The sequence below is a fragment of the Homo sapiens genome, chromosome 19 (assembly GCF_000001405.40).
Source record: "Homo sapiens chromosome 19, GRCh38.p14 Primary Assembly".
Lineage (NCBI taxonomy): Eukaryota > Metazoa > Chordata > Mammalia > Primates > Hominidae > Homo > Homo sapiens.
This window is the reverse complement of record NC_000019.10, coordinates 14,566,078-14,579,132: the sequence shown is the minus strand read 5'-3', so window position 1 is coordinate 14,579,132 and position 13,055 is coordinate 14,566,078. Positions and strand designations below refer to the sequence as shown.

General features: G+C 52.5%; 1 protein-coding gene across 2 annotated transcripts, besides 1 other annotated feature; it reads left to right on the top strand.

The window, feature by feature from the left end:
- Positions 6,846-7,135: an enhancer, noted in NCBI's record as "active region_14173". NCBI's record gives its function as "activates an Ori minimal core promoter by ATAC-STARR-seq in GM12878 lymphoblastoid cells {active_cell/tissue: GM12878}" and the evidence as "EXISTENCE:reporter gene assay evidence [ECO:0000049][PMID:35858748]".
- On the top strand, positions 7,067-13,055 carry NDUFB7 (NADH:ubiquinone oxidoreductase subunit B7). 2 transcript variants are annotated; one of them, NM_004146.6, is made up of 3 exons: positions 7,067-7,244; positions 12,200-12,368; positions 12,868-13,055. In NM_004146.6, exons 1-3 carry the CDS (start codon positions 7,133-7,135, stop codon positions 12,998-13,000), a joined length of 414 nt encoding a protein of 137 aa, NP_004137.2. In that variant the 5' UTR covers positions 7,067-7,132; the 3' UTR covers positions 13,001-13,055. The 2 variants fall into 2 exon arrangements, with proteins under 2 accessions (NP_004137.2, XP_011526341.1); XM_011528039.4 differs by lacking the exon at positions 7,067-7,244 and adding an exon at positions 11,032-11,107.

Below are 13,055 nucleotides of genomic sequence, written 5' to 3'. Positions count from 1 at the left end.
TGTAATCCCAGCTACCACGGAGGCTGAGGCAGGACAATCGCTTGAACCTGCAAGGCAAAGGTTGCAGTGAGCCAAGATCGCACCACTGCACTCCAGCCTGGGTGACAGAAAGAAACTCCATCTCAAAAAAATAAAAATAAAAATAAAGTAGAAACAGAAAAAGAAGAAAAAGAAAGAAGGAGAAAGGAATCACATGTACATGGGGGATTGCAATAAAGAGGAGGATCAGGCTGGGCATGGTGACACACGCCTGGAATCCCAGCACTTTGGGAGGCTGAGGCAGGTGGATTACCTGAGGTCGGGAGTTCAAGAACAGCCTGACCAATATGATGAACAACCAGCCTGGGTAAGGTAGGGAGACCCTGCCTCTACAAAATTAATGAAATATCCCTCTGATATTTATCATATCACAGGGTTTACGCACTGTGATATTAATGAAAAAATTAACCAGGCATGTTGGTACACACCTATAGTCCTAGCTACTCAGGAGGCTGAGGTAGGAGGATCCCTTGAGCCCAGGAATTCAAGGCTGCAATGAGCTGTGATTGTGCCACTGCACTCTGGCGTGGGCAACAAAGTGAGACCCTGTCTCAAAAAAATAAAATAAAAATAAAATTCCAGACCATCCCTTCTCATCCACTCTGTCTGCCATTTTTCCCCTTAACCATTGTCACAGTCTTATCATATCTCACATTGCACATACCTCACTTCCTAATCTTGTTCTCTGCCTGTCTTCCACCTATTAGCAGCTCAACTCCATGAGGGCAGGGATTTGTGTCTGTCTTGTTCACTGCCTGCCACACGGTAGGTGCTCAATGAATGTTTGTTGAATGAGTGAGTGACCTCCTGCCTGCCAAGCCCTGTCTAAGGCCACCCCTAAAGCCCCGCCCCTCCAGGCTCTCTCATCCCTCCAATACCAGCCAGCCACTCTCAATGCACACAGCATCAAACGCTGGGTGTCAGTAGCACTCCTGCCTGGATTAAAGACAAGTGTTCTGTCTGCCCCATAAGCAGAAGCGGGGCTTGCCCTGGGAGTCTTCTGCTGAGGCCTCACTGACCTTGTTTTTCCTCCTTCCCTGAAACTGAATCCCCCAGAGCATCTGGTCTCCCAACCAGCAGACTGTGGCAAGGTGCAGACACCACTCAGAATTTCCTTCCCCACCTCAGGTCCCACGTGGGCCCTCTGAGGCTGCTCTGCTCACAGAGTGCGAATGCAGCCCCTTCTGGAGCAGACCAGATGGGGCAGGACAGGAGAGCAAGGGAAGGAAGAAAGGGGAGAGGCGGGGAACTGTGGCCAATAAACCGGGTCCTGGCCAGGTGCGGTGGCTCATGCCTGTAATCCCACCACTTTGGGAGGCCGAGGCGGGAAGATCACCTGAGGTCAGGAGTTCGAGATCAGCCTGGCCAACATGGTGAAATCCCATCTCTACTAAAAATACAAAAATTAGCCAGGAGTGGTGGCGGGCGCCTGTAATCCCAGCTACTCAGGGGGCTGAGGCAGGAGAATTGCTTGAACCCTGGAGGCCGAGATTGCAGTGAGCCGAGATCTCACCACTGCACTCCAGCCTGGGTGACAGAGCAAGACTCCGTCTCAAAGAAAAAAAAAAAAAAAACAGGTCCCCTGGGAGCGGTGGGCAAGGGACACAGGAAGGTCTCCTTGGTGGGTGGTTGATAAAGAAAAAAACAGGAAGGATACAGATGATGGGTGATGGAGGCCCCCACATGCTGCCTAAAATCACCCTCACCCAAATATTGATACAGGAGATAGAAAGACATTATTTAGGCAGCTAGTGAGGGTAAGAGAGTCCTTGTCAGAGCTTCCCTTTTAACAAAAAGCAGCCCAGGCTGGGCTCAGTGGCTCACGCCTGTAATCCCAACACTTTGGGAGGCGGAGGCAGGCGGATCACCTGAGGTCAGAAGTTCGAGACCAGCTTGACCAACATAGCGAAACCCCGTCTCTACTAAAAAAAAAAAATACATATATATATATATATATATATATATATATATATATATATATACACACACAAAAATACAAAAAATTAGCCAGGCATGGTAGCGGGTGCCTATAATCCCAGGTACTCAGGAGGCTGAGGCAGGAAAATCACTTGAACCCGGGAGGCGGAGGCTGCAGCAAGCCAAGATTGCGCCATTGCACTCCAGCCTGGGCAACAAGAGCAAAACTCCAGCTCAAAGAAAACAAACAAACACACAAAAAAAACAGCCCAAGAAATTATTTATTTTTAACAACGAGCATCCTGAGAAATTGAGCTGCAAACATAGATAAGCAAGCTGGAAGCTTGCATGAGAAAATGCCAGCAGCTGTGCCAATAGAAAAGGGCTACCTGAGGGCCAGGCATGTTCAACATGGAGTCTCCATCTTCCCTTTTATTATCACGTGTACAGTAAAAAATAAATAAATAGATAAAAAATAAACGGGCATGATGGTGCAGGCCAGGCAGAGAACCTACCTACATAATGAAAGATTAAGGTGGGGGGACTTCCAGAAATTCGCGCCCTATGCAAATGGCACACCTAGTCCTAAACAGTTTTTGCGCCCTATGCAAATAGCACACCTGGCCCAACCAATCTTTCAAGCCCTATGTAAATCAGACACTGCCTGCTCACCAAGCATCTATAAAACGCCCTGCATTTCACCTCAAAACCAGCAACCTGTTCAGGACCCCTCTCTCTGCAGCAGAGACAGGTATTCTTTCACCTGTTAAACTTTCACTCTTGGCCAGGCGCAGTAGCTCACGCCTGTAATCCCAGCACTTTGGAAGGCCGAGGCGGGTGGGTCATTTGAGGTCAGGAGGTCCTGGCCAGCGTGGTGAAACCTCATCTCTACTAAAAATACAAAAAATTAGCCAGGTGTGGTGGCACACACCTGTAATCTCAGCTACTCAGAGGCTGAGGCACGAGAATCACTTGAACCCAGGAGGCAGAGGTTGCAGTGATCTGAGATCCTGCCATTACACTCCAGCCTGGGCAACAGAGCAAGACTCCATCTCAAAAAATAAGTAAATAGGCCAGGAGGGTGACTCACACCTGTAATCCCAGCTACCTGGGAGGCTGAGACAGGAATTACTTGAACCCAGGAGGTGAAGGTTGCAGTGAACCGAGATTGTGCCACTGCACTCCGGCCTGGGTGACAGAGCAAGACTCCATCTCAAAAAAATAAATAAATAAATATAAACTTCCTCTCTTAACCTCACTCCTTGTGTGTCCACGTCCTTGATTTCCTCCGCTGTAAGACAACGAATCTCAGTTATCACCCCAGACAATGGCCCTTTCAGTATCATTCCCCCCAGGTCCCCAGTGCTCGGTAAGGCTAGGCCAGGCTGAACCATTTGAGTCCTGGAAGTTTAGAATGGAATGGGCCACATGCCTCCACGCCCAACCCCAGTCATCCCTGGCTTGAATCCCTTCAGCCTCTGGTGAAATGACTGGTCACAGTAGCCTCCTTTGTTTGGCTTTCTAGCGCCAGACTGTGACCTGGATGAAAGAAACAATAGTGAGCATGTATTGAGCACCTACTGGATGCCAGGCACTAAGCACTTTTGATGCAACCATCTGATTCTTCCACCTTCTCTATTTATTTATTCCTGTGTTTATTCAACAAATTATTTATTTTATTGTATTGTTCTGTATTTATTTTCAGAGACAGGGTCTTGCTCTGTTGACCAGGCTGGAGTGCAGTGGCATGATCATTGCTCACTGCAGCCTCAACCTCCTGGGCTCAAGCGATCCTCCCACTTCAGCCTCCCAAGTAGCTGGGACTACAGGTGCATGCCACCAGCCCGGCTAATTTTTTTATTTTTTTGTAGAGACAGGGGTCTCCCTATATTGCCCAGGCTGGTCTCAAAGTCCTGTTCTCAAGTGATCCTTCTGCCTCCGCCTCCCAAAGCCGTGTAATTACAGTCGTTAGCCACCGCACCCAGTCTATTCAACAAATATTTTCTAAGCATCTACTGCACGCCAGTTCTGTTCTAGGTGCAGTAATATGGCAGTGAACAAGACAGACAAAATTCCCTGCTTCACAGAGCTGAGTTGAGAGAAGAGACCAATAATAAACAAAATAAATAAGGCAAATGGATCGCAGTTTAAATGGTGCTAAGTGCGAAGGAGGAAAATAAAGGTCCAGCATGATGGCTCACGCCTGTAATCCCAGCACTTTGGGAGGCCAAGGCAGGTGGTTTGCTTGAGCCCAAGAGGTTGAGATCAGCCTGGGCAACATGGCAAAACCTCATCTCTACAAAAATACAAATATTAGCTGGGCGTAGTGGCACGCACGTGGAATCCCAGCTACTCGGGAGGCTGAGGCAGGAGGGTCGCCTGAGCCCAGGAGGCAGAGGCTGCAGTGAGCCGAGATCATGACACTGCACTCCAGCCTGGGTAATAGAGCAAGACCCTGTCTTGAAAAAATAAAAAAATAAAGCCAGGAAAGGGGTGGAATCCATCAGGAGGAGGGGAGCCCTCGCTGGCTGGGAACATTATGAGATAGGTATTACAAACCTCATCTTACAGATGAGTAAACTCAGTCTGCGAGAAATGAAGTCACTTCTGGGGGTCACACAGGGAAAGTGAGCTAGTACTGTAATTTGCCTCTCTGGACTCCCTTTGAGCTCTGACCTCTGGGTGAGCAGCTGAAGCACAGAGAAAGGAAGATTAAGGAGACACGCCCAGAACACGTCAGGGTTACTGGATGCAGCTGTGCAGGCTGTGCACGGCACAACTCCAGAAGCACCATTCATAGAGATCACAATGTGAATGCTGCCCCCTTGAGTCTAGAAGGGCACAAGAATCACAGATTAATGTGGTGGCCTGGAGATAGGGACAGGTCACACAGGTAGCCCTGGAAAGAAGGTCTCAGCTGGACGCAGTGGTTCAAGCCTGTAATCCCTGCACTTTGGGAGGCCGAAGCGGGTGGATCACCTGAGGTCAGGAGTTCAAGACCAGCCTAGCCAACATGATGAAACTCCGTCTCTACTAAAAATACAAAAAAATTATTTGGGAGGCCAAGGCGGGCGGATCACAAGGTCAGGAGATCAAGACTATCCTGGCTAACACGGTGAAACCCCGTCTCTACTAAAAATACAAAAAAAGTAGCCGGGCGTGGTGGCGGGCGCTTGTAGTCCCAGCTACTCGGCAGGCTGAGGCAGGAGAATGGCGTGAACCCGGGAGGCGGAGCTTGCAGTGAGCCGAGATTGCGCCACTGCACTCCAGCCTGGGCAACGGAGCAAGACTCCGTCTCAAAAAAAAAAAAAAAAAAATTAGCTGGCCGTGATGGCACCCACCTGTAATCCCAGCTACTTAGGAGGCTAAGGCAGGAGAATCGCTTGAAACCAGAAGGCGGAGGTTGCGGTGAGCCGAGATCACACCACTGCACTCCAGCCTGGGCAACAAGAGTGAAACTCTGTCTCAAAAAAAAAAAAAAAAAAGAAAGAAAAAGAAAAGTCTCTATTGCCAGTTGTCTATTCTCAATAGCTTGCTTTTTTCACTTAATATATCAGCAGCCACTTCCCCATGTCAACACATAAAGATCTAGTTGAGTAATTCTCCCAAAGCTGGTCACTAGACCAGCAACATCACATCACCTGGGAATTTTTATAGACAGGGTCTCACTCTGTTGCCTAGGCTGGAGTGCAGTGATGGGATCACGGCTCACTGCAGCCTGGAACTCCTGGGCTCAAGTTATCCTCCTGCCTCAGCCTCCCGAGTAGCTGGGACTACAAGCGTGCACCACCACACCCAGCTTTTTTTTTTTTTTTTTTTTTTGTAGAGATAGAGTCTCCCTATATTGCCCAGGCTGGTCTCAAACTCCTGAGTTCAGGCGATCCTCCCATCTCAGCTTCCCAAAGCTCTGAGATTACAGGTGTGAGCCACTGCCCTGGCCCATATTTTTTTTTTTCCATTAGACTGTTTTTCTGTTCCATTAGACTGTAAGCTTGAAAGACAGGAACCACGTCTGCCTTTCTGTCTGACCACTGGACCCAGCATACCATACAGTAGATGCCTAATACATGCTTTGTCAGACTGGGGAAAAATATATATTAGATATTAATATTAGATATTAATATATTTTAAAATTGTATAAAGATTGCATATATATATATAATTTATTTGAAATTTCAGCTTTAAATAATTGTTTTTGACCAGGCACAGTGGCTTACGCCCATAATCCCAACACTTTGAGAGGCTGAGGCGGGAGGATCCCTGGAGCCCAAGAGTTCAAGGTTGCAGTGAGCTATGATTGTGCCACTGTGCTCCAGCCTGGGCGACAGAATGAGACCCTATCTCAAAAAATAATAATATAATAATAACTGTATTTATGAATAACTTTTATTTAAATTAAATTTATCAAAATCTTTCTTGGACAGGCACTGTGGCTCATGCCCGTAATCCCAGCAATTTGGGAGGCTGAGGCGGGGGAATCACTTGAGGTCAGGGGTTCGAGACCAGCCTGGCCAACTGGCGAAACCCCGTCTCTACTAAAAATACAAAAATTAGCTGGGGGTGGTGGCGGGCGCCTGTAATCCCAGCTACTCAGGAGGCTGAGGCAAGAGAATTTGAGCCCAGGAGGTGGAGGCTGCAGTGAGCCGAGATCGCGCCAATACACTCCAGTCTGGGCGACAGGTACTGTGTCTCCAAAAACAAAAAATTCTTAAAGTGACTTTATGCAAAATTACATACATTAACGATATAATAGATATCGTGCCTTTTTTAAGAGAAATTTGAATGTTTTCAAAGAAAAAACTTTTTGGAAAATGATATGAAAAATAATTTTAATATGTGCTTTAGCCTCGGGCTACCAGAAGAGCCCCAGATAGGGTCGAGGGAGGCCTCAGTCCCACACCGTCCCCTTCTGCCCCGCCCAGATGGATTTCCAGGCTCAGGGAAGTCCCCTCTCGGGTCCAACCATATCCTGCGAAGAGACACAGCACCTGTCCCGCCTCCGCCTGTCCGCGAGGTGACGCCAGGCGGACCGGAGCGATCCTCTGGAGTCCTTCATCTCTATGATCTCCGCAGCTGCCTAAATGACCCGGAAGCTGTGTCTGACTGAGGGGTCAGTGGTTCCGGGTAGGAGCTAGGTGACCCTCGGCTGCTGCAGGGATCTGCAGCGACTGCAGCCATGGGGGCCCACCTGGTCCGGCGCTACCTGGGCGATGCCTCGGTGGAGCCCGACCCCCTGCAGATGCCAACCTTCCCGCCAGACTACGGCTTCCCCGAACGCAAGGAGCGCGGTGAGGCCCAGTGCGCAGGCGCAGCCAGAGGGCGTGGGGCGCGGGTGCCTGAACACCTGGCACCCCAGGGCTGGCACCCCAGGGCTGGGCTCTAACCTCAGGTGTTGTATCTGGGTTTGGGTCTAGACTAGGAGTCCACAGGACGTGCATGACCCCACCTCAGTGTGGAGGCGTTCCAGCCCAAGGGCACGGCTTGAGCAAAAGCCAGGGAGCAAAAGTGAGGCGACAAGTGGGGGTTCGGGCAGGAATGCGACGCGCAGAGCTGGGTCGAGTCTTTTTTTTTTTTCTTTTGAGACGGAGTCTCGCTTTTTCTTTCAGGCTGGAGTGCAGTGGCTTGGTCTCGATTCACTGGCAGCCTCCACCTCCCGGGTTCAAGCGATTCTCCTGCCTCAGCCTCGCGAGTAGCTGTGATTACAGATGTGTACCACCATGCCCAGCTACTTTTTTGTATTGTTAGTAGAGACGGGGTTTCTCCTTGTTGGCCAGGCTGCTCTTGAACTCCTGACCTCAAGTGATCCGCCCGCCTCGGCCTCCCCAAGTGCTGGGATCGCAGAAGTCAGTCACCACGCCCGGCCTCGGGCCAAGTCTTGGGGGACGTGGGGAGTCATGGGAGGGCAGGGACACGTTCATTGTACCCCCTTCCTGATGTCACTGCAATTGTGGGGTATGCACAAGGAAATAAGGAAGATTCGAGCTGCAAATACTGTCCTGCAAAGTGCTTTGTTTTGCTTTGAGACGGGATCTTGCTCTGTTGCCCAGGCTGAGTGTAGTGGCACAATCACAGCTCATTGCATCCTCGACCTCCTGGGCTCAAATGATCCTCCCGCCTCAGCCTCCCGAGTAGCTGGGACTACAGGAGCGCCCCAGGATGCCAGACTGATTTTTTATTTTTTGTAGAGTTGGGGGTCTTGCTGTGTTGCCCAGGCTGGTCTCAAACTCCTGGGCTCAAACGATCCTTCTGCCCAGCCTCCCAAAGTGCTGGGATTGAAGATGTGAGCCACTACGCCCAGGATGGTTTTTTGGTTCGTGTGTTTGTTTTTGCTTTTAATGTAGTAATATCACAGGCATACCGAGCACCAGCTCTGGGCCACGTCCCACATTAGGCACCGCGGATACAGCAGGGAACTGGAGGGATGCAGGCACTGTCTCCAGAGAACTCAGCACAGTGGGAAAGATTGTGGAATCAGGCAGAGCTGGGGGTGTCAAAGCAGGCTTCCAAGAGGCAGTGGCTGGAAACAAAGACGTGAAGGGTGGCCGGTCGTGGTGGCTCATGCCTGTAATCCCAGCACTTTGGGAGGCTAAGGCGGGCAGATCACCTGGGGTCAGGAGTTTGAGACCAGCCTGGCCAACATGGTGAAACACCATCTCTACTAAAAATATAAAAATTGAGGCCGGGCATGGTGTCTCACACCCATAATCCCAGCACTTTGGGAGGCCGAGGCGGGCAGATCACGAGGTCAGGGGATTGAGACCATCCTGGCCAATGTGGTGAAACCCTGTCTCTACTAAAAATACAAAAATTAGCCAGGGGCGTGGTGGTGCACACCTGTAGTCCCAGCTACTCAGGAGGCTGAGGCAGGAGAATCGCTTGAACCCAGGAGGCAGAGGTTATAGTGAGCCGAGATCACACCACTGCACTCCAGCCTGGGCGACAGAGCAAGACTCCATCTCAAAAACAAAATACAAAAATTAAGCCGGGCACGGTGGCTTATGCCTGTAATCCCAGCACTTTGGGAGGCCAAGGCCGGTGGATCACCTGAGGTCAGGAGTTTGAGACCAGCCTGGCCAACATGGTGAAACCCCGTCTCTACTCTACTAAAAATACAAAAATTAGCCAGGTGTGGTGGCGCATGCCTGTAATCCCAGCTGTCTGGGAGGCTGAGGCAGGAGAATTGGCTGGAACCCAGGAGGCAGAGGTTGCAGTGAACCAAGGTCAGGCCACCACACTCCAGCCTGGGTGACAGAGCGAGACTGTCTGAAAAAACAAAACAAAACAAAACAAAGATGTGAAGGGGCATGAGTAGGGGTTGACCAAAGAGAGGTGGCAGAGCCAAGCTTCTAAGCAGAGGAGGGACACAATCAGTTTTGGTTGGTCAAAAGGTCACACTGTCTACTGAGTGGGCGACAAGCTTGAGACAGAGACCTCTAAGCAGCCTGGATTTGAGAGAAAGTTGGGAGATGGTATAATCACTCCAGTGTCCACACTCCGGGTAGTCCTTCCGCCCCAGCTGAACCTGCAGTTCATTGGTCCGTCCACCTTCCTCCCACTGCCTCACATACCTTGCTTTCCCCAAGATCAGCTTTGCAAACGCTAGCAACCTGCTGCCCTTCTCTCTTGCTTACTCTGGATAAACTCACCTCTTTCCCTTCCTTGGTGCCTATCCCCGTGCAACTGAACATAATGGGGGGCGGGGAGATAAGAAAAAAACAGCTCTAAGCCAGGCAAAATGGCTCATGCCTGTAATCCCAACGGTTTGGGAGGCAAAGGCAGGAGGATTGCTCAAGGCCAGAAGTTCAAGAACAGCCTGGGCAACATAGCAAGGCCCTGTCTCTACAATTTTTTATTTTTATTTTTTAATTAGCTGGGTGTGGTGGCGCATTCCTGCAGTCCCTGCTGACCGGTCTCCCGATTGGTACTCCAGTGGACTCTTTATGGTGCCTGGCCTTTCTCTTACCTCCCGGATCCTTCACTCTCTCCCTCCCTCCTAGATCACTGTCCCCTGCCCTCTCTTTCCTCCTTTCCACCCCCTTTCAGCCAGTCACTTTGCTCACTGCAACATCTGCCTTCCCGGTTCAAGCGATTCTCCCGCCTCAGCCTCCCGAGTAGCTGGGATTACAGGTGCGTGCCACCACACCTGACTCATTTTTGTATTTTTAGTAGAGACAGGGTTTTACCATGTTGGCCAGGCTGATCTCGAACTTCTGACCTCAAGTGATCCACCTGCCTCGGCCTCCCAAAGTGCTGGGTTTACAGGCGTGAGCCACCGCGCCTGGCCCATATTTATTTATTTGTTTGTAGAGATGGGCTCTCGCTCTGTTGCTTAGGCTGGAGTGCAGTGGGGTGGTTATCACCCACTGCAGCCTCAAACTCCTGGGTTCAAGCGATCCTCCCGAGTAGCTCTGGATACTCCGTGTGCACTACCGTGCAAAGATAATTTTATTTTTTTCTGGACATGGGATCTTTCTGTGCTCCCCAGGCTGGTCTCCCTAATACTTAAGCACTGCCAGACACGCTGTGGTGCTCTGTCTTCTGTCTGTTCTGTGTCTCCCTCTGAGGGCAGGGACACTTGTGTGTTGTGTTGCCTGCTGTATCCCCACCACTAAGCACACAGTAGGCAGTCTAAAGTCCTTGCTGCTAGCTGATTATAAGTTCAAGACAAAAGAGGGAGGAGTCTAGGATTGCCACCTGGAGCTCCAAGTGCAGATAGGGAACAGCCAGGGGCTGCAGGTGATACCCAGGCCTGGGGCTCAAGCGAGGTGTGGGGTGGAGGGACCACATCGGGCTCATCTACATACGGGGCGGCAGCAGAGAAAAAGGCTCTCAGGCCGGGCACAGTGGCTCACACCTGTAATCCCAGCACTTTGGGAGGCCAAGGTGGGTGGATCACCTGAGGTCAGGAGTTCAAGACCAGCCTGACTAACATGGCGAAACCCCATCTCTACTAAAAATACAAAAATTAGTCGGGCATGGTGGCAGGCGCCTGTAGTTCCAGCTACTCAGGAAGCTGAGGCAGGAGAATTGCTTGAACCTGGGAGACAGGGGTTGCAGTGAGCTGAGATCTTGCCACTGCCCTCCAGCCTGGGTGACAGAGTGAGACTCCATCTCAAAAGAAAAGAAAAAGGCTCCCAGAACAAAGCGTAAGGTAAGGCAGCCATAGAGATGGGAGGAAACCTGGGGAGGAGGGATGTGGGAGGAGCCACAGGAAAGAAGGAAGCGGGAGGCTGGGGTCCTGGGCTGTTGGGTGGCCCTGTGAGAGCCCGTGTCTGGGCAGTGAGGGGGTAGGGCAGAAGCCAGGGAATGGGACAAGGGGCAGGAGAGGAGGACCTGGGCCTCAGTGGGATGAGAGAATCGCAGCTGGGAAGCAAAGGGGAGAGAAGCCAGCAGGGGACGACTGCCATTGAGATGTGAATATATCTCGTCTCACTTGCGCAGATGGGAAGGAGCTGGGACCGAGAAAGATGTGGTGGACGTCAGGAGGGCTAGGGAGGCTGGGTCTGAGGGAGGCGGTGGGGAACGAGTGCAGGATCGCCAGGCACAGGCTCCGGGGTGAGTGTCCAGGATTCCTCATGCTCCCATCGGCCCCCTCCTGAAGGTTGATTTGTCCGGAGTCAGGTTTGCTAGGTGAGTGGGGCACCGGGACCCAGATACTAGTCCAGCTGTCTTCTGAGCCCACGCCTAAGTACCTTACAGGTACTGTTAGCTCAGTGGATGCTCGGGTAACTTCCATGACCGGATGGTCAGTTCTGAGGCTGAGAGAGAGGCCACGCCGCCGGCCAGTGCAGAGCTGGGCCTTGGGTGGGTTGCAGACAAGAAAGGCTGGGAGTGCTGCCTGGAGCCCCAGGTGCAGGTGGAGGGGCTGAGGGTTACTCTGGGAGAAGGTGGATTCTGAACTCGGACTCTGGAGAGCGGGGCTGTAGAGAGCTGGGGACGGGCATCCCTGTGGGAGGGGAGGCAAGGATCCGGCACGGGATGTTGAGGTGCCTCAGGGTGATGGGGAGCCACCTTCTCCTGTCTGGCCCTTGGTGTCTGGAGTTGCCTTTGTGCAAATTAGAAAAGGAGGCCCCTTCAGGACAGTGCATCCGTCAAAGGCATCTGCCATCCACTGCCATCTGGATGTGAATGGGGGACACCCCAAGCCGTGCCTTCCTGAAGCCGTGTGCCTCGGTCCCCTGGGGATCCCCGGAATTGGGGTGGGGAGCCTCCAGCCTGGTTGAGCCCCGCCCACTCCCTGCAGAGATGGTGGCCACACAGCAGGAGATGATGGACGCGCAGCTGAGGCTCCAGCTGCGGGACTACTGCGCCCACCACCTCATCCGGCTGCTCAAGTGCAAGCGTGACAGCTTCCCCAACTTCCTGGCCTGCAAGCAGGAGCGGCACGACTGGGACTACTGCGAGCACCGCGAGTGAGCACCCCCACACCAGCCCCCAACACCCCGGCCCGCAACACCCCATACCCCCAGCCTTCCACACCCCTGGCCCACCCAAGCCCCCCACATGCCCAGCCCGCCCAAGCCCCCCTCCCACCCCCGCCAACACCCACAGCCTGCACCCCACCCAGGCCTGGCCCCTGGCAGGATGTGGCTCCAGAGGCCAGGGACCTGAACTGCCACTGAGGTTTCTAGCCGGGCCCCACCTTAGTCCCAGAGAGGGCTCTCTAGGGGCCTGTTTGATGGGGACAGGGCAGGTGGCTGAAGCCACCTAGGGGAGTGGCCAAGCCCAGGTTCCAGTGGGAAGCCCTGCCACCTGCGTGGGCAGACCCCAGACCCAAGCCACAGGCACTCGGACATGTCTTCTTCAGAGGCCTCCCCCACAGTGCTCTGGGACGGCCCCTCCGCTTCCCAGGGCTTGGGGGGCGTGTCCTGGCCAGGGACCCTGACAGCCCCTCTCGTGCTTTTCCCCCAGCTATGTGATGCGCATGAAGGAGTTTGAGCGGGAGCGGAGGCTGCTCCAGCGGAAGAAGCGGCGGGAGAAGAAGGCGGCAGAGTTGGCCAAAGGCCAGGGACCCGGGGAAGTGGACCCCAAGGTGGCCCTGTAGGGGGTGCACCCCCCACCCTATGGACCAGTCAAATAAAAGCCTTCAGGCCCCTCAA

What these genes read in the sequence shown, in the direction of transcription:
- NDUFB7 (NM_004146.6), top strand. Translation starts at nt 7,133, where the DNA reads ATGGGGGCCCACCTGGTCCGGCGCTACCTGGGCGATGCCTCGGTGGAG. An exon ending in CCCCGAACGCAAGGAGCGCG is followed by an intron (nt 7,245 to 12,199) that starts GTGAGGCCCAGT and finishes CACTCCCTGCAG; the next exon opens with AGATGGTGGCCACACAGCAG. An exon ending in GACTACTGCGAGCACCGCGA is followed by an intron (nt 12,369 to 12,867) that starts GTGAGCACCCCC and finishes CTTTTCCCCCAG; the next exon opens with CTATGTGATGCGCATGAAGG.